The sequence below is a fragment of the Homo sapiens genome, chromosome X (genome assembly GCF_000001405.40).
Source record: "Homo sapiens chromosome X, GRCh38.p14 Primary Assembly".
Classification (NCBI taxonomy): Eukaryota; Metazoa; Chordata; class Mammalia; order Primates; family Hominidae; genus Homo; species Homo sapiens.
The window spans coordinates 59,726,151-59,752,680 of NC_000023.11; the positions used below are offsets into that span (position 1 = coordinate 59,726,151).

The 26,530-nt window shown below is 40.6% G+C and overlaps 1 annotated feature.

Moving 5' to 3' along the window:
• Nucleotides 1-26,530: part of a centromere (Linear centromere model derived predominantly from reads generated in PMID: 17803354. This region does not represent an actual centromere sequence, as long-range ordering of repeats and unmapped WGS contigs is not provided by the model. For details of model production, see http://arxiv.org/abs/1307.0035.) that runs on past both edges of the window.

A 26,530-nucleotide genomic window follows, 5' to 3' on the forward strand; every position in this document is an offset into this window, starting at 1 on the left:
GAAGCATTCTCAGAAACTTCTGAGTGATGATTGCATTCAAGTCACACAGTTGAACCCTCCTTTTGATGGAGCAGTTTTGAAACTGTCTTTTTGTAGAATCTGTAAGTGGATACGTGGACCTCTTTGAAGATTTCTTTGGAAACGGGAATATTTCCACAGAAAAACTAAACTTAAGCATTCTCAGAAACCGCTTTGTGATGTTTGTGTTCGAGCCACAGAGGTTAACATTGTTTTTCATAGAGCAGTTTTGAAATATTCTTTTCGCAGAATCTGCAAGTGGACATTTGGAGCGCTTTCAGGCCTGTGGTGGCAAAGGCCTGAAAGCCTTTTCCTTTATCTTCACAGAAAGACGAGAGAGAAGCATTGTCAGAAACTTCTTTGTGATGATTGCATTCAACTCACAGAGTTGAAGATTCCTTTTGAAACAGCAGTTTCGAAACACTCTTTCTGTGGGATCCGCAAGGGGATATTTGGACCTCTTTGAAGGTTTCGTTGGAAACGGGATAATCTTCACCTAAAAGCTAAACGGAAGCATTCTCAGAAACTTCTTTGGGATGTTTGCATTCACCTCACAGAGTTGAACTTTCCCTTTGATAGCGCAGCTTTGACACACTTTTTCTACAATGTGCAAGTGGCTATTTAGCGGGCTTGGAGGACTGTGTTGGAAAAGGAAATATCTTCTCCTAAAAACGACATAGAAGCATTCTCAGAAACTGCTCTGTGATGATTGCATTCAACTCCCAGAGTTGAACATTCCTTTTGATAGAGCAGTTTGCAAACACTCTTTTTGTAGAATCTGCAAGTGGAGATTTGGACCGCTTTGAGGCCTGTGGTAGTGAAGGAAAGAACTTCATATAAAAACCAGACGGTAGCACTCTCAGAAAATTCTTTGTGACGATGGAGTTTAACTCAGGGAGCTGAACATTCGTTATGATGGAGCAGTTTCCAAACACACGTTTTGTAGAATCTGCAAGGGGATATTTTGACCTCTCTGAGGATTTCGTTGGAAACGGGATCAACTTCCCATAACTGAACGGAAGCAAACTCAGAACATTCTTTGTGATGTTTGTATTCAACTCACAGAGTTGAACCTTCCTTTGATAGTTCAGGTTTGCAACACCCTTGTAGTAGAATCTGCAAGTGTATATTTTGACCACTTTGTAGCCTTCATTTGAAACGTCTATACCTTCACATCAAACCTAGACAGAAGCATTCTCAGAAAGTTTTCTGCGATGACTGCATTCAACTCACAGAGTTGAACAATCCTTCTGATGGAGCAGTTTTGAAACCCTCTTTCTTTGGAATCTGCAAGGGGATATGTGGACCTCTTTGAAGATTTCACTGGAAACGGGATCATCTTCACATAAAAACTAAACAGAAAGCATTCTCGGAAACTACTTTGTGATGTTTGTATTCAACTCCCAGAGTTGAACTTTCCTTTTGAAAGAGCAGCTATGAAACACTCTTTTTCGAGAATCTGAAAGTGGACGTTTGGAGGGCTTTGAGGCCTGTGGTGGAAAAGGAAATATCTTCACATAAAAACTAGATAGAAGCATTCTCAGAAACGACTTTGTGAGGATGGCATTCAACTCATGGAGTTGAACAATCCTATTGATAGAGCAGATTGGAATCACTCTTTTTGTAGAATCTGCAAATGGAGATTTGGACTGCTTTGAGGCCTACGGTAGTATAGGAAGGAACTTCATATAAAAGGCAAACGGAAGCATTCTCAGAATATTCTTTGTGATGATGGAGTTTCACTCACAGAGCTGAACATGCCTTTTGATGGAGCAGTTTCCAAATACACTTTTGGTAGAATCTGCAGGTGGATATTTGGAGCTCTCTGAGGATTTCGTTGGAAACGGGAATAATTTCCCATAACTAAACACAAACACTCTGAGAAAGTTCTTCATGATGAATGCATTTAACTCGCAGAGATGAACCTGCCTTTGAGAGTTCAGGTTCGAAACACTCTTTCTGTAGAATCTGCAAGTGGATATTTGGACCACTGGGTGGCCTTCGTTCGAAACGGGTATATGTTCACGTAAAAACTAAAGAGAAGCATTCTCAGAAACTTCTGAGTGATGATTGCATTCAAGTCACACAGTTGAACCCTCCTTTTGATGGAGCAGTTTTGAAACTGTCTTTTTGTAGAATCTGTAAGTGGATGCGTGGACCTCTTTGAAGATTTCTTTGGAAACGGGAATATTTCCACAGAAAAACTAAACTGAAGCATTCTCAGAAACTGCTTTGTGATGTTTGTGTTCGAGCCACAGAGTTTAACATTGCTTTTCATAGAGCAGTTTTGAAATATTCTTTTCGCAGAATCTGCAAGTGGACATTTGGAGCGCTTTCAGGCCTGTGGTGGCAAAGGCCTGAAAGCCTTTTCCTTTATCTTCACAGAAAGACGAGAGAGAAGCATTGTCAGAAACTTCTTTGTGATGATTGCATTCAACTCACAGAGTTGAAGATTCCTTTTGAAACAGCAGTTTCGAAACACTCTTTCTGTGGGATCCGCAAGGGGATATTTGGACCTCTTTGAAGGTTTCGTTGGAAACGGGATAATCTTCACCTAAAAGCTAAACGGAAGCATTCTCAGAAACTTCTTTGGGATGTTTGCATTCACCTCACAGAGTTGAACTTTCCCTTTGATAGCGCAGCTTTGACACACTTTTTCTACAATGTGCAAGTGGCTATTTAGCGGGCTTGGAGGACTGTGTTGGAAAAGGAAATATCTTCTCCTAAAAACGACATAGAAGCATTCTCAGAAACTGCTCTGTGATGATTGCATTCAACTCCCAGAGTTGAACATTCCTTTTGATAGAGCAGTTTGCAAACACTCTTTTTGTAGAATCTGCAAGTGGAGATTTGGACCGCTTTGAGGCCTGTGGTAGTGAAGGAAAGAACTTCATATAAAAACCAGACGGTAGCACTCTCAGAAAATTCTTTGTGACGATGGAGTTTAACTCAGGGAGCTGAACATTCGTTATGATGGAGCAGTTTCCAAACACACGTTTTGTAGAATCTGCAAGGGGATATTTGGACCTCTCTGAGGATTTCGTTGGAAACGGGATCAACTTCCCATAACTGAACGGAAGCAAACTCAGAACATTCTTTGTGATGTTTGTATTCAACTCACAGAGTTGAACCTTCCTTTGATAGTTCAGGTTTGCAACACCCTTGTAGTAGAATCTGCAAGTGTATATTTTGACCACTTTGTAGCCTTCGTTTGAAACGTCTATATCTTCACATCAAACCTAGAAAGAAGCATTCTCAGAAAGTTTTCTGCGATGACTGCATTCAACTCACAGAGTTGAACAATCCTTCTGATGGAGCAGTTTTGAAACCCTCTTTCTTTGGAATCTGCAAGGGGATATGTGGACCTCTTTGAAGATTTCACTGGAAACGGGATCATCTTCACATAAAAACTAAACAGAAGCATTCTCGGAAACTACTTTGTGATGTTTGTATTCAACTCCCAGAGTTGAACTTTCCTTTTGAAAGAGCAGCTATGAAACACTCTTTTTCGAGAATCTGCAAGTGGACGTTTGGAAGGCTTTGAGGCCTGTGGTGGAAAAGGAAATATCTTCACATAAAAACTAGATAGAAGCATTCTCAGAAACGACTTTGTGAGGATGGCATTCAACTCATGGAGTTGAACAATCCTATTGATAGAGCAGATTGGAATCACTCTTTTTGTAGAATCTGCAAATGGAGATTTGGACTGCTTTGAGGCCTACGGTAGTATAGGAAGGAACTTCATATAAAAGGCAAACGGAAGCATTCTCAGAATATTCTTTGTGATGATGGAGTTTCACTCACAGAGCTGAACATGCCTTTTGATGGAGCAGTTTCCAAATACACTTTTGGTAGAATCTGCAGGTGGATATTTGGAGCTCTCTGAGGATTTCGTTGGAAACGGGAATAATTTCCCATAACTAAACACAAACACGCTGAGAACGTTCTTCATGATGAATGCATTGAACTCGCAGAGATGAACCTGCCTTTGAGAGTTCAGGTTCGAAACACTCTTTCTGTAGAATCTGCAAGTGGATATTTGGACCACTGGCTGGCCTTCGTTCGAAACGGGTATATGTTCACGTAAAAACTAAAGAGAAGCATTCTCAGAAACTTCTGAGTGATGATTGCATTCAAGTCACACAGTTGAACCCTCCTTTTGCTTGAGCAGTTTTGAAACTGTCTTTTTGTAGAATCTGTAAGTGGATGCGTGGACCTCTTTGAAGATTTCTTTGGAAACGGGAATATTTCCACAGAAAAACTAAACTGAAGCATTCCCAGAAACTGCTTTGTGATGTTTGTGTTCGAGCCACAGAGTTTAACATTGCTTTTCATAGAGCAGTTTTGAAATATTCTTTTGGCAGAATCTGCAAGTGGACATTTGGTGCGCTTTCAGGCCTGTGGTGGAAAAGGCCTGAACGTCTTTTCCTTTATCTTCACAGAAAGACGAGAGAGAAGCATTGTCAGAAACTTCTTTGTGATGATTGCATTCAACTCACAGAGTTGAAGATTCCTTTTGAAACAGCAGTTTCGAAACACTCTTTCTGTGGGATCCGCAAGGGGATATTTGGACCTCTTTGAAGATTTCGTTGGAAACGGGATAATCTTCACCTAAAAGCTAAACGGAAGCATTCTCAGAAACTTCTTTGGGATGTTTGCATTCACCTCACAGAGTTGAACTTTCCCTTTGATAGCGCAGCTTCGACACACTTTTTCTACAATGTGCAAGTGGATATTTAGCGGGCTTGGAGGACTGTGTTGGAAAAGGAAATATCTTCTCCTAAAAACGACATAGAAGCATTCTCAGGAACTGCTCTGTGATGATTGCATTCAACTCCCAGAGTTGAACATTCCTTTTGATAGAGCAGTTTGCAAACACTCTTTTTGTAGAATCTGCAAGTGGAGATTTGGACCGCTTTGAGGCCTGTGGTAGTAAAGGAAAGAACTTCATATAAAAACTAGACGGTAGCACTCTCAGAAAAAACTTTGTGACGATGGAGTTTAACTCAGAGAGCTGAACATTCGTTATGATGGAGCAGTTCCCAAACACACGTTTTGCAGAATCTGCAAGGGGATATTTGGACCTCTCTGAGGATTTCGTTGGAAACGGGATCAACTTCCCATAACTGAACGGAAGCAAACTCAGAACATTCTTTGTGATGTTTGTATTCAACTCACAGAGTTGAACCTTCCTTTGATAGTTCAGGTTTGCAACACCCTTGTAGTAGAATCTGCAAGTGTATATTTTGACCACTTTGTAGCCTTCGTTTGAAACGTCTATATCTTCACATCAAACCTAGACAGAAGCATTCTCAGAAAGTTTTCTGCGATGACTGCATACAACTCATAGAGTTGAGTAATCCTTTTGATGGAGCAGTTTTGAAACCCTCTTTCTTTGGAATCTGCAAGGGGATATGTGGACCTCTTTCAAGATTTCACTGGAAACGGGATCATCTTCACATAAGAACTAAACAGAAGCATTCTCGGAAACTACTTTGTGATGTTTGTATTCAACTCCCAGAGTTGAACTTTCCTTTTGAAAGAGCAGCTATGAAACACTCTTTTTCGAGAATCTGCAAGTGGACGTTTGGAGGGCTTTGAGGCCTGTGGTGGAAAAGGAAATATCTTCACATAAAAACTAGATAGAAGCATTCTCAGAAACGACTTTGTGAGGATGGCATTCAACTCATGGAGTTGAACAATCCTATTGATAGAGCAGATTGGAATCACTCTTTTTGTAGAATCTGCAAAGGGAGATTTGGACTGCTTTGAGGCCTACGGTAGTATAGGAAGGAACTTCATATAAAAGGCAAACGGACGCATTCTCAGAATATTCTTTGTGATGATGGAGTTTCACTCACAGAGCTGAACATGCCTTTTGATGGAGCAGTTTCCAAATACACTTTTGGTAGAATCTGCAGGTGGATATTTGGACCTGTCGGAGGATTTCGTTGGAAACGGGAATAATTTCCCATAACTAAACACAAACACTCTGAGAAAGTTCTTCATGATGAATGCATTTAACTCGCAGAGATGAACCTGCCTTTGAGAGTTCAGGTTCGAAACACTCTTTCTGTAGAATCTGCAAGTGGATATTTGGACCACTGGCTGGCCTTCGTTCGAAACGGGTATATGTTCACGTAAAAACTAAAGAGAAGCATTCTCAGAAACTTCTGAGTGATGACTGCATTCAAGTCACACAGTTGAACCCTCCTTTTGATGGAGCAGTTTTGAAACTGTCTTTTTGTAGAATCTGTAAGTGGATACGTGGACCTCTTTGAAGATTTCTTTGGAAACGGGAATATTTCCACAGAAAAACTAAACTGAAGCATTCTCAGAAACTGCTTTGTGATGTTTGTGTTCGAGCCACAGAGTTTAACATTGCTTTTCATAGAGCAGTTTTGAAATATTCTTTTGGCAGAATCTGCAAGTGGACATTTGGAGCGCTTTCAGGCCTGTGGTGGAAAAGGCCTGAAAGCCTTTTCCTTTATCTTCACAGAAAGACGAGAGAGAAGCATTGTCAGAAACTTCTTTGTGATGATTGCATTCAACTCACAGAGTTGAAGATTCCTTTTGAAACAGCAGTTTCGAAACACTCTTTCTGTGGGATCCGCAAGGGGATATTTGGACCTACTTTGAAGGTTTCGTTGGAAACGGGATAATCTTCACCTAAAAGCTAAACGGAAGCATTCTCAGCAAACTTCTTTGGGATGTTTGCATTCACCTCACAGAGTTGAACTTTCCCTTTGATAGCGCAGCTTTGACACACTTTTTCTACAATGTGCAAGTGGCTATTTAGCGGGCTTGGAGGACTGTGTTGGAAAAGGAAATATCTTCTCCTAAAAACGACATAGAAGCATTCTCAGAAACTGCTCTGTGATGATTGCATTCAACTCCCAGAGTTGAACATTCCTTTTGATAGAGCAGTTTGCAAACACTCTTTTTGTAGAATCTGCAAGTGGAGATTTGGACCGCTTTGAGGCCAGTGGTAGTGAAGGAAAGAACTTCATATAAAAACCAGACGGTAGCACTCTCAGAAAATTCTTTGTGACGATGGAGTTTAACTCAGGGAGCTGAACATTCGTTATGATGGAGCAGTTTCCAAACACACGTTTTGTAGAATCTGCAAGGGGATATTTGGACCTCTCTGAGGATTTCGTTGGAAACGGGATCAACTTCCCATAACTGAACGGAAGCAAACTCAGAACATTCTTTGTGATGTTTGTATTCAACTCACAGAGTTGAACCTTCCTTTGATAGTTCAGGTTTGCAACACCCTTGTAGTAGAATCTGCAAGTGTATATTTTGACCACTTTGTAGCCTTCATTTGAAACGTCTATATCTTCACATCAAACCTAGACAGAAGCATTCTCAGAAAGTTTTCTGCGATGACTGCATTCAACTCACAGAGTTGAACAATCCTCTGATGGAGCAGTTTTGAAACCCTCTTTCTTTGGAATCTGCAAGGGGATATGTGGACCTCTTTGAAGATTTCACTGGAAACGGGATCATCTTCACATAAAAACTAAACAGAAGCATTCTCGGAAACTATTTTGTGATGTTTGTATTCAACTCCCAGAGTTGAACTTTCCTTTTGAAAGAGCAGCTATGAAACACTCTTTTTCGAGAATCTGCAAGTGGACGTTTGGAGGGCTTTGAGGCCTGTGGTGGAAAAGGAAATATCTTCACACAAAAACCAGATAGAAGCATTCTCAGAAACTACTTTGTGAGGATGGCATTCAACTCATGGAGTTGAACAATCCTATTGATAGAGCAGATTGGAATCACTCTTTTTATAGAATCTGCAAATGGAGATTTGGACTGCTTTGAGGCCTACGGTAGTACAGGAAGGAACTTCATATAAAAGGCAAACGGAAGCATTCTCAGAATATTCTTTGTGATGATGGAGTTTCACTCACAGAGCTGAACATGCCTTTTGATGGAGCAGTTTCCAAATACACTTTTGGTAGAATCTGCAGGTGGATATTTGGAGCTCTCTGAGGATTTCGTTGGAAACGGGAATAATTTCCCATAACTAAACACAAACACTCTGAGAAAGTTCTTCATGATGAATGCATTTAACTCGCAGAGATGAACCTGCCTTTGAGAGTTCAGGTTCGAAACACTCTTTCTGTAGAATCTGCAAGTGGATATTTGGACCACTGGGTGGCCTTCGTTCGAAACGGGTATATGTTCACCTAAAAACTAAAGAGAAGCATTCTCAGAAACTTCTGAGTGATGATTGCATTCAAGTCACACAGTTGAACCCTCCTTTTGATGGAGCAGTTTTGAAACTGTCTTTTTGTAGAATCTGTAAGTGGATACGTGGACCTCTTTGAAGATTTCTTTGGAAACGGGAATATTTCCACAGAAAAACTAAACTGAAGCATTCTCAGAAACTGCTTTGTGATGTTTGTGTTCGAGCCACAGAGTTTAACATTGCTTTTCATAGAGCAGTTTTGAAATATTCTTTTGGCAGAATCTGCAAGTGGACATTTGGAGCGCTTTCAGGCCTGTGGTGGAAAAGGCCTGAAAGCCTTTTCCTTTATCTTCACAGAAAGACGAGAGAGAAGCATTGTCAGAAACTTCTTTGTGATGATTGCATTCAACTCACAGAGTTGAAGATTCCTTTTGAAACAGCAGTTTCGAAACACTCTTTCTGTGGGATCCGCAAGGGGATATTTGGACCTCTTTGAAGGTTTCGTTGGAAACGGGATAATCTTCACCTAAAAGCTAAACGGAAGCATTCTCAGAAACTTCTTTGGGATGTTTGCATTCACCTCACAGAGTTGAACTTTCCCTTTGATAGCGCAGCTTTGACACACTTTTTCTACAATGTGCAAGTGGCTATTTAGCGGGCTTGGAGGACTGTGTTGGAAAAGGAAATATCTTCTCCTAAAAACGACATAGAAGCATTCTCAGAAACTGCTCTGTGATGATTGCATTCAACTCCCAGAGTTGAACATTCCTTTGGATAGAGCAGTTTGCAAACACTCTTTTTGTAGAATCTGCAAGTGGAGATTTGGACCGCTTTGAGGCCTGTGGTAGTGAAGGAAAGAACTTCATATAAAAACCAGACGGTAGCACTCTCAGAAAATTCTTTGTGACGATGGAGTTTAACTCAGGGAGCTGAACATTCGTTATGATGGAGCAGTTTCCAAACACACGTTTTGTAGAATCTGCGAGGGGATATTTGGACCTCTCTGAGGATTTCGTTGGAAACGGGATCAACTTCCCATAACTGAACGGAAGCAAACTCAGAACATTCTTTGTTATGTTTGTATTCAACTCACAGAGTTGAACCTTCCTTTGATAGTTCAGGTTTGCAAAACCCTTGTAGTAGAATCTGCAAGTGTATATTTTGACCACTTTGTAGCCTTCGTTTGAAACGTCTATATCTTCACATCAAACCTAGACAGAAGCATTCTCAGAAAGTTTTCTGCGATGACTGCATTCAACTCACAGAGTTGAACAATCCTTTTGATGGAGCAGTTTTGAAACCCTCTTTCTTTGGAATCTGCAAGGGGATATGTGGACCTCTATGAAGATTTCACTGGAAACGGGATCATCTTCACATAAAAACTAAACAGAAGCATTCTCGGAAACTATTTTGTGATGTTTGTATTCAACTCCCAGAGTTGAACTTTCCTTTTGAAAGAGCAGCTATGAAACACTCTTTTTCGAGAATCTGCAAGTGGACGTTTGGAGGGCTTTGAGGCCTGTGGTGGAAAAGGAAATATCTTCACACAAAAACCAGATAGAAGCATTCTCAGAAACTACTTTGTGAGGATGGCATTCAACTCATGGAGTTGAACAATCCTATTGATAGAGCAGATTGGAATCACTCTTTTTGTAGAATCTGCAAATGGAGATTTGGACTGCTTTGAGGCCTACAGTAGTACAGGAAGGAACTTCATATAAAAGGCAAACGGAAGCATTCTCAGAATATTCTTTGTGATGATGGAGTTTCACTCACAGAGCTGAACATGCCTTTTGATGGAGCAGTTTCCAAATACACTTTTGGTAGAATCTGCAGGTGGATATTTGGAGCTCTCTGAGGATTTCGTTGGAAACGGGAATAATTTCCCATAACTAAACACAAACACTCTGAGAAAGTTCTTCATGATGAATGCATTTAACTCGCAGAGATGAACCTGCCTTTGAGAGTTCAGGTTCGAAACACTCTTTCTGTAGAATCTGCAAGTGGATATTTGGACCACTGGGTGGCTTCGTTCGAAACGGGTATATGTTCACGTAAAAACTAAAGAGAAGCATTCTCAGCAAACTTCTGAGTGATGATTGCATTCAAGTCACACAGTTGAACCCTCCTTTTGATTGAGCAGTTTTGAAACTGTCTTTTTGTAGAATCTGTAAGTGGATACGTGGACCTCTTTGAAGATTTCTTTGGAAACGGGAATATTTCCACAGAAAAACTAAACTGAAGCATTCTCAGAAACTGCTTTGTGATGTTTGTGTTCGAGCCACAGAGTTTAACATTGCTTTTCATAGAGCAGTTTTGAAATATTCTTTTGGCAGAATCTGCAAGTGGACATTTGGAGTGCTTTCAGGCCTGTGGTGGAAAAGGCCTGAAAGCCTTTTCCTTTATCTTCACAGAAAGACGAGAGAGAAGCATTGTCAGAAACATCTTTGTGATGATTGCATTCAACTCACAGAGTTGAAGATTCCTTTTGAAACAGCAGTTTCGAAACACTCTTTCTGTGGGATCCGCAAGGGGATATTTGGACCTCTTCGAAGGTTTCGTTGGAAACGGGATAATCTTCACCTAAAAGCTAAACGGAAGCATTCTCAGAAACTTCTTTGGGATGTTTGCATTCACCTCACAGAGTTGAACTTTCCCTTTGATAGCGCAGCTTCGACACACTTTTTCTACAATGTGCAAGTGGATATTTAGCGGGCTTGGAGGACTGTGTTGGAAAAGGAAATATCTTCTCCTAAAAACGACATAGAAGCATTCTCAGAAACTGCTCTGTGATGATTGCATTCAACTCCCAGAGTTGAACATTCCTTTTGATAGAGCAGTTTGCAAACACTCTTTTTGTAGAATCTGCAAGTGGAGATTTGGACCGCTTTGAGGCCTGTGGTAGTAAAGGAAAGAACTTCATATAAAAACCAGACGGTAGCACTCTCAGAAAATTCTTTGTGACGATGGAGTTTAACTCAGAGAGCTGAACATTCGTTATGATGGAGCAGTTTCCAAACACACGTTTTGTAGAATCTGCAAGGGGATATTTGGACCTCTCTGAGGATTTCGTTGGAAACGGGATCAACTTCCCATAACTGAACGGAAGCAAACTCAGAACATTCTTTGTGATGTTTGTATTCAACTCACAGAGTTGAACCTTCCTTTGATAGTTGAGGTTTGCAACACCCTTGTAGTAGAATCTGCAAGTGTATATTTTGACCACTTTGTAGCCTTCGTTTGAAACGTCTATATCTTCACCTCAAACCTAGACAGAAGCATTCTCAGAAAGTTTTCTGCGATGACTGCATTCAACTCACAGAGTTGAACAATCCTTTTGATGGAGCAGTTTTGAAACCCTCTTTCTTTGGAATCTGCAAGGGGATATGTGGACCTCTTTGAAGATTTCACTGGAAACGGGATCATCTTCACATAAGAACTAAACAGAAGCATTCTCGGAAACTACTTTGTGATGTTTGTATTCAACTCCCAGAGTTGAACTTTCCTTTCGAAAGAGCAGCTATGAAACACTCTTTTTCGAGAATCTGCAAGTGGACGTTTGGAGGGCTTTGAGGCCTGTGGTGGAAAAGGAAATATCTTCACATAAAAACTAGATAGAAGCATTCTCACAAACGACTTTGTGAGGATGGCATTCAACTCATGGAGTTGAACAATCCTATTGATAGAGCAGATTGGAATCACTCTTTTTGTAGAATCTGCAAATGGAGATTTGGACTGCTTTGAGGCCTACGGTAGTATAGGAAGGAACTTCATATAAAAGGCAAACGGAAGCATTCTCAGAATATTCTTTGTGATGATGGAGTTTCACTCACAGAGCTGAACATGCCTTTTGATGGAGCAGTTTCCAAATACACTTTTGGTAGAATCTGCAGGTGGATATTTGGACCTCTCTGAGGATTTCGTTGGAAACGGGAATAATTTCCCATACCTAAACACAAACACTCTGAGAAAGTTCTTCATGATGAATGCATTGAACTCGCAGAGATGAACCTGCCTTTGAGAGTTCAGGTTCGAAACACTCTTTCTGTAGAATCTGCAAGTGGATATTTGGACCACTGGGTGGCCTTCGTTCGAAACGGGTATATGTTCACGTAAGAACTAAAGAGAAGCATTCTCAGAAACTTCTGAGTGATGATTGCATTCAAGTCACACAGTTGAACCCTCCTTTTGATGGAGCAGTTTTGAAACTGTCTTTTTGTAGAATCTGTAAGTGGATACGTGGACCTCTTTGAAGATTTCTTTGGAAACGGGAATATTTCCACAGAAAAACTAAACTGAAGCATTCTCAGAAACCGCTTTGTGATGTTTGTGTTCGAGCCGCAGAGTTTAACATTGCTTTTCATAGAGCAGTTTTGAAATATTCTTTTGGCAGAATCTGCAAGTGGACATTTGGAACGCTTTGAGGCCTGTGGTGGCAAAGGCCTGAAAGCCTTTTCCTTTATCTTCACAGAAAGACGAGAGAGAAGCATTGTCAGAAACTTCTTTGTGATGATTGCATTCAACTCACAGAGTTGAAGATTCCTTTTGAAACAGCAGTTTCGAAACACTCTTTCTGTGGGATCCGCAAGGGGATATTTGGACCTCTTTGAAGGTTTCGTTGGAAACGGGATAATCTTCACCTAAAAGCTAAACGGAAGTATTCTCAGAAACTTCTTTGGGATGTTTGCATTCACCTCACAGAGTTGAACTTTCCCTTTGATAGCGCAGCTTTGACACACTTTTTCTACAATGTGCAAGTGGCTATTTAGCGGGCTTGGAGGACTGTGTTGGAAAAGGAAATATCTTCTCCTAAAAACGACATAGAAGCATTCTCAGAAACTGCTCTGTGATGATTGCTTTCAACTCCCAGAGTTGAACATTCCTTTTGATAGAGCAGTTTGCAAACACTCTTTTTGTAGAATATGCAAGTGGAGATTTGGACCGCTTTGAGGCCTGTGGTAGTAAAGGAAAGAACTTCATATAAAAACTAGACGGTAGCACTCTCAGAAAATTCTTTGTGACGATGGAGTTTAACTCAGAGAGCTGAACATTCGTTATGATGGAGCAGTTTCCAAACACACGTTTTGTAGAATCTGCAAGGGGATATTTGGACCTCTCTGAGGATTTCGTTGGAAACGGTATCAATTTCCCATAACTGAACGGAAGCAAACTCAGAACATTCTTTGTGATGGTTGCATTCATCTCACAGAGTTGAACCTTCCTTTGATAGTTGAGGTTTGCATCACCCTTGTAGTAGAATCTGCAAGTGTATATTTTGACCACTTTGTAGCCTTCGTTTGAAACGTCTATATCTTCACATCAAACCGAGACAGAAGCATTCTCAGAAAGTTTTCTGCGATGACTGCATTCAACTCACAGAGTTGAACAATCCTTTTGATGGAGCAGTTTTGAAACCCTCTTTCTTTGGAATCTGCAAGGGGATATATGGACCTCTTTGAAGATTTCACTGGAAACGGGATCATCTTCACATAAGAACTAAACAGAAGCATTCTCGGAAACTACTTTGTGATGTTTGTATTCAACTCCCAGAGTTGAACTTTCCTTTTGAAAGAGCAGCTATGAAACACTCTTTTTCGAGAATCTGCAAGTGGACGTTTGGAGGGCTTTGAGGCCTGTGGTGGAAAAGGAAATATCTTCACATAAAAACTAGATAGAAGCATTCTCAGAAACTACTTTGTGAGGATGGCATTCAACTCATGGAGTTGAACAATCCTATTGATAGAGCAGATTGGAATCACTCTTTTTGTAGAATCTGCAAATGGAGATTTGGACTGCTTTGAGGCCTACAGTCGTATAGGAAGGAACTTCATATAAAAGGCAAACGGAAGCATTCTCAGAATATTCTTTGTGATGATGGAGTTTCACTCACAGAGCTGAACATGCCTTTTGATGGAGCAGTTTCCAAATACACTTTTGGTAGAATCTGCAGGTGGATATTTGGAGCTCTCTGAGGATTTCGTTGGAAACGGGAATAATTTCCCATAACTAAACACAAACACGCTGAGAAAGTTCTTCATGATGAATGCATTGAACTCGCAGAGATGAACCTGCCTTTGAGAGTTCAGGTTCGAAACACTCTTTCTGTAGAATCTGCAAGTGGATATTTGGACCACTGGCTGGCCTTCGTTCGAAACGGGTATATGTTCACGTAAAAACTAAAGAGAAGCATTCTCAGAAACTTCTGAGTGATGATTGCATTCAAGTCACACAGTTGAACCCTCCTTTTGATTGAGCAGTTTTGAAACTGTCTTTTTGTAGAATCTGTAAGTGGATGCGTGGACCTCTTTGAAGATTTCTTTGGAAACGGGAATATTTCCACAGAAAAACTAAACTGAAGCATTCTCAGAAACGGCTTTGTGATGTTTGTGTTCGAGCCACAGAGTTTAACATTGCTTTTCATAGAGCAGTTTTGAAATATTCTTTTGGCAGAATCTGCAAGTGGACATTTGGAGCACGTTCAGGCCTGTGGTGGAAAAGGCCTGAAAGCCTTTTCCTTTACCTTCACAGAAAGACGAGAGAGAAGCATTGTCAGAAACTTCTTTGTGATGATTGCATTCAACTCACAGAGTTGAAGATTCCTTTTGAAACAGCAGTTTCGAAACACTCTTTCTGTGGGATCCGCAGGGGGATATTTGGACCTCTTTGAAGATTTCGTTGGAAACGGGATAATCTTCACCTAAAAGCTAAACGGAAGTATTCTCAGAAACTTCTTTGGGATGTTTGCATTCACCTCACAGAGTTGAACTTTCCCTTTGATAGCGCAGCTTCGACACACTTTTTCTACAATGTGCAAGTGGATATTTAGCGGGCTTGGAGGACTGTGTTGGAAACGGAAATATCTTCTCCTAAAAACGACATAGAAGCATTCTCAGAAACTGCTCTGTGATGATTGCTTTCAACTCCCAGAGTTGAACATTCCTTTTGATAGAGCAGTTTGCAAACACTCTTTTTGTAGAATCTGCAAGTGGAGATTTGGACCGCTTTGAGGCCTGTGGTAGTAAAGGAAAGAACTTCATATAAAAACTAGACGGTAGCACTCTCAGAAAATTCTTTGTGACGATGGAGTTTAACTCAGAGAGCTGAACATTCGTTATGATGGAGCAGTTTCCAAACACACGTTTTGTAGAATCTGCAAGGGGATATTTGGACCTCTCTGAGGATTTCGTTGGAAACGGTATCAATTTCCCATAACTGAACGGAAGCAAACTCAGAACATTTTTTGTGATGGTTGCATTCATCTCACAGAGTTGAACCTTCCTTTGATAGTTGAGGTTTGCATCACCCTTGTAGTAGAATCTGCAAGTGTATATTTTGACCACTTTGTAGCCTTCGTTTGAAACGTCTATATCTTCACATCAAACCTAGACAGAAGCATTCTCAGAAAGTTTTCTGCGATGACTGCATTCAACTCACAGAGTTGAACAATCCTTTTGATGGAGCAGTTTTGAAACCCTCTTTCTTTGGAATCTGCAAGGGGATATGTGGACCTCTTTGAAGATTTCACTGGAAACGGGATCATCTTCACATAAGAACTAAACAGAAGCATTCTCGGAAACTACTTTGTGATGTTTGTATTCAACTCCCAGAGTTGAACTTTCCTTTTGAAAGAGCAGCTATGAAACACTCTTTTTCGAGAATCTGCAAGTGGACGTTTGGAGGGCTTTGAGGCCTGTGGTGGAAAAGGAAATATCTTCACATAAAAACTAGATAGAAGCATTCTCAGAAACGACTTTGTGAGGATGGCATTCAACTCATGGAGTTGAACAATCCTATTGATAGAGCAGATTGGAATCACTCTTTTTGTAGAATCTGCAAATGGAGATTTGGACTGCTTTGAGGCCTACGGTAGTACAGGAAGGAACTTCATATAAAAGGCAAACGGAAGCATTCTCAGAATATTCTTTGTGATGATGGAGTTTCACTGACAGAGCTGAACATGCCTTTTGATGGAGCAGTTTCCAAATACACTTTTGGTAGAATCTGCAGGTGGATATTTGGAGCTCTCTGAGGATTTCGTTGGAAACGGGAATAATTTCCCATAACTAAACACAAACACTCTGAGAAAGTTCTTCATGATGAATGCATTTAACTCGCAGAGATGAACCTGCCTTTGAGAGTTCAGGTTCGAAACACTCTTTCTGTATAATCTGCAAGTGGATATTTGGACCACTGGGTGGCCTTCGTTCGAAACGGGTATATGTTCACGTAAAAACTAAAGAGAAGCATTCTCAGAAACTTCTGAGTGATGATTGCATTCAAGTCACACAGTTGAACCCTCCTTTTGATGGAGCAGTTTTGAAACTGTCTTTTTGTAGAATCTGTAAGTGGATACGTGGACCTCTTTGAAGATTTCTTTGGAAACGGGAATATTTCCACAGAAAAACTAAACTGAAACATTCTCAGAAACCGCTTTGTGATGTTTGTGTTCCAGCCACAGAGTTTAACATTGCTTTTCATAGAGCAGTTTTGAAATATTCTTTTCGCAGAATCTGCAAGTGGACATTTGGAGCGCTTTCAGGCCTGTGGGTGGAAAAGGCCTGAAAGCCTTTTCCTTTATCTTCACAGAAAGACGAGAGAGAAGCATTGTCAGAAACTTCTTTGTGATGATTGCATTCAACTCACAGAGTTGAAGATTCCTTTTGAAACAACAGTTTCGAAACACTCTTTCTGTGGGATCCGCAAGGTGATATTTGGACCTCTTTGAAGGTTTCATTGGAAACGGGATAATCTTCACCTAAAAGCTAAACGGAAGCATTCTCAGAAACTTCTTTGGGATGTTTGCATTCACCTCACAGAGTTGAACTTTCCCTTTGATAGCGCAGCTTTGACACACTTTTTCTACAATGTGCAAGTGGCTATTTAGCGGGCTTGGAGGACTGTGTTGGAAAAGGAAATATCTTCTCCTAAAAACGACATAGAAGCATTCTCAGAAACTGCTCTGTGATGATTGCATTCAACTCCCAGAGTTGAACATTCCTTTTGATAGAGCAGTTTGCAAACACTCTTTTTGTAGAATCTGCAAGTGGAGATTTGGACCGCTTTGAGGCCTGTGGTAGTAAAGGAAAGAACTTCATATAAAAACCAGACGGTAGCACTCTCAGAAAATTCTTTGTGACGATGGAGTTTAACTCAGAGAGCTGAACATTCGTTATGATGGAGCAGTTTCCAAACACACGTTTTGTAGAATCTGCAAGGGGATATTCGGACCTCTCTGAGGATTTCGTTGGAAACGGGATCAACGTCCCATAACTGAACGGAAGCAAACTCAGAACATTCTTTGTGATGTTTGTATTCAACTCACAGAGTTGAACCTTCCTTTGATAGTTCAGGTTTGCAACACCCTTGTAGTAGAATCTGCAAGTGTATATTTTGACCACTTTGTAGCCTTCGTTTGAAACGTCTATATCTTCACATCAAACCTAGACAGAAGCATTCTCAGAAAGTTTTCTGCGATGACTGCATTCAACTCACAGAGTTGAACAATCCTTTTGATGGAGCAGTTTTGAAACCCTCTTTCTTTGGAATCTGCAAGGGGATATGTGGACCTCTTTGAAGATTTCACTGGAAACGGGATCATCTTCACATAAAAACTAAACAGAAGCATTCTCGGAAACTATTTTGTGATGTTTGTATTCAACTCCCAGAGTTGAACTTTCCTTTTGAAAGAGCAGCTATGAAACACTCTTTTTCGAGAATCTGCAAGTGGACGTTTGGAGGGCTTTGAGGCCTGTGGTGGAAAAGGAAATATCTTCACACAAAAACCAGATAGAAGCATTCTCAGAAACGACTTTGTGAGGATGGCATTCAACTCATGGAGTTGAACAATCCTATTGATAGAGCAGATTGGAATCACTCTTTTTGTAGAATCTGCAAATGGAGATTTGGACTGCTTTGAGGCCTACGGTAGTACAGGAAGGAACTTCATATAAAAGGCAAACGGAAGCATTCTCAGAATATTCTTTGTGATGATGGAGTTTCACTGACAGAGCTGAACATGCCTTTTGATGGAGCAGTTTCCAAATACACTTTTGGTAGAATCTGCAGGTGGATATTTGGAGCTCTCTGAGGATTTCGTTGGAAACGGGAATAATTTCCCATAACTAAACACAAACACTCTGAGAAAGTTCTTCATGATGAATGCATTTAACTCGCAGAGATGAACCTGCCTTTGAGAGTTCAGGTTCGAAACACTCTTTCTGTAGAATCTGCAAGTGGATATTTGGACCACTGGGTGGCCTTCGTTCGAAACGGGTATATGTTCACGTAAAAACTAAAGAGAAGCATTCTCAGAAACTTCTGAGTGATGATTGCATTCAAGTCACACAGTTGAACCCTCCTTTTGATGGAGCAGTTTTGAAACTGTCTTTTTGTAGAATCTGTAAGTGGATACGTGGACCTCTTTGAAGATTTCTTTGGAAACGGGAATATTTCCACAGAAAAACTAAACTGAAGCATTCTCAGAAACTGCTTTGTGATGTTTGTGTTCGAGCCACAGAGTTTAACATTGCTTTTCATAGAGCAGTTTTGAAATATTCTTTTCACAGAATCTGCAAGTGGACATTTGGAGCGCTTTCAGGCCTGTGGTGGAAAAGGCCTGAAAGCCTTTTCCTTTATCTTCACAGAAAGACGAGAGAGAAGCATTGTCAGAAACTTCTTTGTGATGATTGCATTCAACTCACAGAGTTGAAGATTCCTTTTGAAACAGCAGTTTCGAAACACTCTTTCTGTGGGATCCGCAAGGGGATATTTGGACCTCTTTGAAGGTTTCGTTGGAAACGGGATAATCTTCACCTAAAAGCTAAACGGAAGCATTCTCAGAAACTTCTTTGGGATGTTTGCATTCACCTGACAGAGTTGAACTTTCCCTTTGATAGCGCAGCTTTGACACACTTTTTCTACAATGTGCAAGTGGCTATTTAGCGGGCTTGGAGGACTGTGTTGGAAAAGGAAATATCTTCTCCTAAAAACGACATAGAAGCATTCTCAGAAACTGCTCTGTGATGATTGCATTCAACTCCCAGAGTTGAACATTCCTTTTGATAGAGCAGTTTGCAAACACTCTTTTTGTAGAATCTGCAAGTGGAGATTTGGACCGCTTTGAGGCCTGTGGTAGTGAAGGAAAGAACTTCATATAAAAACCAGACGGTAGCACTCTCAGAAAATTCTTTGTGACGATGGAGTTTAACTCAGGGAGCTGAACATTCGTTATGATGGAGCAGTTTCCAAACACACGTTTTGTAGAATCTGCGAGGGGATATTTTGACCTCTCTGAGGATTTCATTGGAAACGGGATCAACTTCCCATAACTGAACGGAAGCAAACTCAGAACATTCTTTGTGATGTTTGTATTCAACTCACAGAGTTCAACCTTCCTTTGATAGTTCAGGTTTGCAACACCCTTGTAGTAGAATCTGCAAGTGTATATTTTGACCACTTTGTAGCCTTCGTTTGAAACGTCTATATCTTCACATCAAACCTAGACAGAAGCATTCTCAGAAAGTTTTCTGCGATGACTGCATTCAACTCACAGAGTTGAACAATCCTTCTGATGGAGCAGTTTTGAAACCCTCTTTCTTTGGAATCTGCAAGGGGATATGTGGACCTCTTTGAAGATTTCACTGGAAACGGGATCATCTTCACATAAAAACTAAACAGAAGCATTCTCGGAAACTACTTTGTGATGTTTGTATTCAACTCAAAGAGTTGAACTTTCCTTTTGAAAGAGCAGCTATGAAACACTCTTTTTCGAGAATCTGCAAGTGGACGTTTGGAGGGCTTTGAGGCCTGTGGTGGAAAAGGAAACATCTTCACACAAAAACCAGATAGAAGCATTCTCAGAAACTACTTTGTGAGGATGGCATTCAACTCATGGAGTTGAACAATCCTATTGATAGAGCAGATTGGAATCACTCTTTTTATAGAATCTGCAAATGGAGATTTGGACTGCTTTGAGGCCTACGGTAGTACAGGAAGGAACTTCATATAAAAGGCAAACGGGAAGCATTCTCAGAATATTCTTTGTGATGATGGAGTTTCACTCACAGAGCTGAACATGCCTTTTGATGGAGCAGTTTCCAAATACACTTTTGGTAGAATCTGCAGGTGGATATTTGGAGCTCTCTGAGGATTTCTTTGGAAACGGGAATAATTTCCCATAACTAAACACAAACACTCTGAGAAAGTTCTTCATGATGAATGCATTTAACTCGCAGAGATGAACCTGCCTTTGAGAGTTCAGGTTCGAAACACTCTTTCTGTATAATCTGCAAGTGGATATTTGGACCACTGGGTGGCCTTCGTTCGAAACGGGTATATGTTCACGTAAAAACTAAAGAGAAGCATTCTCAGAAACTTCTGAGTGATGATTGCATTCAAGTCACACAGTTGAACCCTCCTTTTGATGGAGCAGTTTTGAAACTGTCTTTTTGTAGAATCTGTAAGTGGATACGTGGACCTCTTTGAAGATTTCTTTGGAAACGGGAATATTTCCACAGAAAAACTAAACTGAAGCATTCTCAGAAACTGCTTTGTGATGTTTGTGTTCGAGCCACAGAGTTTAACATTGCTTTTCATAGAGCAGTTTTGAAATATTCTTTTCGCAGAATCTGCAAGTGGACATTTGGAGCGCTTTCAGGCCTGTGGTGGCAAAGGCCTGAAAGCCTTTTCCTTTATCTTCACAGAAAGACGAGAGAGAAGCATTGTCAGAAACTTCTTTGTGATGATTGCATTCAACTCACAGAGTTGAAGATTCCTTTTGAAACAGCAGTTTCGAAACACTCTTTCTGTGGGATCCGCAAGGGGATATTTGGACCTCTTTGAAGGTTTCGTTGGAAACGGGATAATCTTCACCTAAAAGCTAAACGGAAGCATTCTCAGAAACTTCTTTGGGATGTTTGCATTCACCTCACAGAGTTGAACTTTCCCTTTGATAGCGCAGCTTTGACACACTTTTTCTACAATGTGCAAGTGGCTATTTAGCGGGCTTGGAGGACTGTGTTGGAAAAGGAAATATCTTCTCCTAAAAACGACATAGAAGCATTCTCAGAAACTGCTCTGTGATGATTGCATTCAACTCCCAGAGTTGAACATTCCTTTTGATAGAGCAGTTTGCAAACACTCTTTTTGTAGAATCTGCAAGTGGAGATTTGGACCGCTTTGAGGCCTGTGGTAGTGAAGGAAAGAACTTCATATAAAAACCAGACGGTAGCACTCTCAGAAAATTCTTTGTGACGATGGAGTTTAACTCAGGGAGCTGAACATTCGTTATGATGGAGCAGTTTCCAAACACACGTTTTGTAGAATCTGCGAGGGGATATTTGGACCTCTCTGAGGATTTCGTTGGAAACGGGATCAACTTCCCATAACTGAACGGAAGCAAACTCAGAACATTCTTTGTGATGTTTGTATTCAACTCACAGAGTTGAACCTTCCTTTGATAGTTCAGGTTTGCAACACCCTTGTAGTAGAATCTGCAAGTGTATATTTTGACCACTTTGTAGCCTTCGTTTGAAACGTCTATATCTTCACATCAAACCTAGACAGAAGCATTCTCAGAAAGTTTTCTGCGATGACTGCATTCAACTCACAGAGTTGAACAATCCTTCTGATGGAGCAGTTTTGAAACCCTCTTTCTTTGGAATCTGCAAGGGGATATGTGGACCTCTTTGAAGATTTCACTGGAAACGGGATCATCTTCACATAAAAACTAAACAGAAGCATTCTCGGAAACTACTTTGTGATGTTTGTATTCAACTCCCAGAGTTGAACTTTCCTTTTGAAAGAGCAGCTATGAAACACTCCTTTTCGAGAATCTGCAAGTGGACGTTTGGAGGGCTTTGAGGCCTGTGGTGGAAAAGGAAATATCTTCACATAAAAACTAGATAGAAGCATTCTCAGAAACTACTTTGTGAGGATGGCATTCAACTCACGGAGTTGAACAATCCTATTGATAGAGCAGATTGGAAACACTCTTTTTGTAGAATCTGTAAATGGAGATTTGGACTGCTTTGAGGCCTACGGTAGTATAGGAAGGAACTTCATATAAAAAGCAAACGGAAGCATTCTCAGAATATTCTTTGTGATGATGGAGTTTCACTCACAGAGCTGAACATGCCTTTTGATGGAGCAGTTTCCAAATACACTTTTGGTAGAATCTGCAGGTGGATATTTGGAGCTCTCTGAGGATTTCGTTGGAAACGGGAATAATTTCCCATAACTAAACACAAACACTCTGAGAAAGTTCTTCATGATGAATGCATTTAACTCGCAGAGATGAACCTGCCTTTGAGAGTTCAGGTTCGAAACACTCTTTCTGTATAATCTGCAAGTGGATATTTGGACCACTGGGTGGCCTTCGTTCGAAACGGGTATATGTTCACGTAAAAACTAAAGAGAAGCATTCTCAGAAACTTCTGAGTGATGATTGCATTCAAGTCACACGGTTGAACCCTCCTTTTGATGGAGCAGTTTTGAAACTGTCTTTTTGTAGAATCTGTAAGTGGATACGTGGACCTCTTTGAAGATTTCTTTGGAAACGGGAATATTTCCACAGAAAAACTAAACTGAAGCATTCTCAGAAACCGCTTTGTGATGTTTGTGTTCGAGCCACAGAGTTTAACATTGCTTTTCATAGAGCAGTTTTGAAATATTCTTTTCGCAGAATCTGCAAGTGGACATTTGGAGCGCTTTCAGGCCTGTGGTGGAAAAGGCCTGAAAGCCTTTTCCTTTATCTTCACAGAAAGACGAGAGAGAAGCATTGTCAGAAACTTCTTTGTGATGATTGCATTCAACTCACAGAGTTGAAGATTCCTTTTGAAACAGCAGTTTCGAAACACTCTTTCTGTGGGATCCGCAAGGGGATATTTGGACCTCTTTGAAGGTTTCGTTGGAAACGGGATAATCTTCACCTAAAAGCTAAACGGAAGCATTCTCAGAAACTTCTTTGGGATGTTTGCATTCACCTCACAGAGTTGAACTTTCCCTTTGATAGCGCAGCTTTGACACACTTTTTCTACAATGTGCAAGTGGCTATTTAGCGGGCTTGGAGGACTGTGTTGGAAAAGGAAATATCTTCTCCTAAAAACGACATAGAAGCATTCTCAGAAACTGCTCTGTGATGATTGCATTCAACTCCCAGAGTTGAACATTCCTTTTGATAGAGCAGTTTGCAAACACTCTTTTTGTAGAATCTGCAAGTGGAGATTTGGACCGCTTTGAGGCCTGTGGTAGTGAAGGAAAGAACTTCATATAAAAACCAGACGGTAGCACTCTCAGAAAATTCTTTGTGACGATGGAGTTTAACTCAGGGAGCTGAACATTCGTTATGATGGAGCAGTTTCCAAACACACGTTTTGTAGAATCTGCGAGGGGATATTTGGACCTCTCTGAGGATTTCGTTGGAAACGGGATCAACTTCCCATAACTGAACGGAAGCAAACTCAGAACATTCTTTGTGATGTTTGAATTCAACTCACAGAGTTGAACCTTCCTTTGATAGTTCAGGTTTGCAACACCCTTGTAGTAGAATCTGCAAGTGTATATTTTGACCACTTTGTAGCCTTCGTTTGAAACGTCTATATCTTCACATCAAACCTAGACAGAAGCATTCTCAGAAAGTTTTCTGCGATGACTGCATTCAACTCACAGAGTTGAACAATCCTTCTGATGGAGCAGTTTTGAAACCCTCTTTCTTTGGAATCTGCAAGGGAATATGTGGACCTCTTTGAAGATTTCACTGGAAACGGGATCATCTTCACATAAAAACTAAACAGAAGCATTCTCGGAAACTACTTTGTGATGTTTGTATTCAACTCCCAGAGTTGAACTTTCCTTTTGAAAGAGCAGCTATGAAACACTCTTTTTCGAGAATCTGCAAGTGGACGTTTGGAGGGCTTTGAGGCCTGTGGTGGAAAAGGAAATATCTTCACACAAAAACCAGATAGAAGCATTCTCAGAAACTACTTTGTGAGGATGGCATTCAACTCATGGAGTTGAACAATCCTATTGATAGAGCAGATTGGAATCACTCTTTTTATAGAATCTGCAAATGGAGATTTGGACTGCTTTGAGGCCTACGGTAGTACAGGAAGGAACTTCATATAAAAGGCAAACGGAAGCATTCTCAGAATATTCTTTGTGATGATGGAGTTTCACTCACAGAGCTGAACATGCCTTTTGATGGAGCAGTTTCCAAATACACTTTTGGTAGAATCTGCAGGTGGATATTTGGAGCTCTCTGAGGATTTCGTTGGAAACGGGAATAATTTCCCATAACTAAACACAAACACTCTGAGAAAGTTCTTCATGATGAATGCATTTAACTCGCAGAGATGAACCTGCCTTTGAGAGTTCAGGTTCGAAACACTCTTTCTGTAGAATCTGCAAGTGGATATTTGGACCACTGGGTGGCCTTCGTTCGAAACGGGTATATGTTCACGTAAAAACTAAAGAGAAGCATTCTCAGAAACTTCTGAGTGATGATTGCATTCAAGTCACACAGTTGAACCCTCCTTTTGATGGAGCAGTTTTGAAACTGTCTTTTTGTAGAATCTGTAAGTGGATACGTGGACCTCTTTGAAGATTTCTTTGGAAACGGGAATATTTCCACAGAAAAACTAAACTGAAGCATTCTCAGAAACTGCTTTGTGATGTTTGTGTTCGAGCCACAGAGTTTAACATTGCTTTTCATAGAGCAGTTTTGAAATATTCTTTTGGCAGAATCTGCAAGTGGACATTTGGAGCGCTTTCAGGCCTGTGGTGGAAAAGGCCTGAAAGCCTTTTCCTTTATCTTCACAGAAAGACGAGAGAGAAAGCATTGTCAGAAACTTCTTTGTGATGATTGCATTCAACTCACAGTAGTTGAAGATTCCTTTTGAAACAGCAGTTTCGAAACACTCTTTCTGTGGGATCCGCAAGGGGATATTTGGACCTCTTTGAAGGTTTCGTTGGAAACGGGATAATCTTCACCTAAAAGCTAAACGGAAGCATTCTCAGAAACTTCTTTGGGATGTTTGCATTCACCTCACAGAGTTGAACTTTCCCTTTGATAGCGCAGCTTTGACACACTTTTTCTACAATGTGCAAGTGGCTATTGAGCGGGCTTGGAGGACTGTGTTGGAAAAGGAAATATCTTCTCCTAAAAACGACATAGAAGCATTCTCAGAAACTGCTCTGTGATGATTGCATTCAACTCCCAGAGTTGAACATTCCTTTTGATAGAGCAGTTTGCAAACACTCTTTTTGTAGAATCTGCAAGTGGAGATTTGGACCGCTTTGAGGTCTGTGGTAGTGAAGGAAAGAGCTTCATATAAAAACCAGACGGTAGCACTCTCAGAAAATTCTTTGTGACGATGGAGTTTAACTCAGGGAGCTGAACATTCGTTATGATGGAGCAGTTTCCAAACACACGTTTTGTAGAATCTGCAAGGGGATATTTGGACCTCTCTGAGGATTTCGTTGGAAACGGGATCAACTTCCCATAACTGAACGGAAGCAAACTCAGAACATTCTTTGTGATGTTTGTATTCAACTCACAGAGTTGAACCTTCCTTTGATAGTTCAGGTTTGCAACACCCTTGTAGTAGAATCTGCAAGTGTATATTTTGACCACTTTGTAGCCTTCGTTTGAAACGTCTATATCTTCACATCAAACCTAGACAGAAGCATTCTCAGAAAGTTTTCTGCGATGACTGCATTCAACTCACAGAGTTGAACAATCCTTCTGATGGAGCAGTTTTGAAACCCTCTTTCTTTGGAATCTGCAAGGGGATATGTGGACCTCTTTGAAGATTTCACTGGAAACGGGATCATCTTCACATAAAAACTAAACAGAAGCATTCTCGGAAACTACTTTGTGATGTTTGTATTCAACTCCCAGAGTTGAACTTTCCTTTTGAAAGAGCAGCTATGAAACACTCTTTTTCGAGAATCTGCAAGTGGACGTTTGGAGGGCTTTGAGGCCTGTGCTGGAAAAGGAAATATCTTCACGTAAAAACTAGATAGAAGCATTCTCAGAAACGACTTTGTGAGGATGGCATTCAACTCATGGAGTTGAACAATCCTATTGATAGAGCAGATTGGAATCACTCTTTTTGTAGAATCTGCAAATGGAGATTTGGACTGCTTTGAGGCCTACGGTCGTATAGGAAGGAACTTCATATAAAAGGCAAACGGAAGCATTCTCAGAATATTCTTTGTGATGATGGAGTTTCACTCACAGAGCTGAACATGCCTTTTGATGGAGCAGTTTCCAAATACACTTTTGGTAGAATCTGCAGGTGGATATTTGGAGCT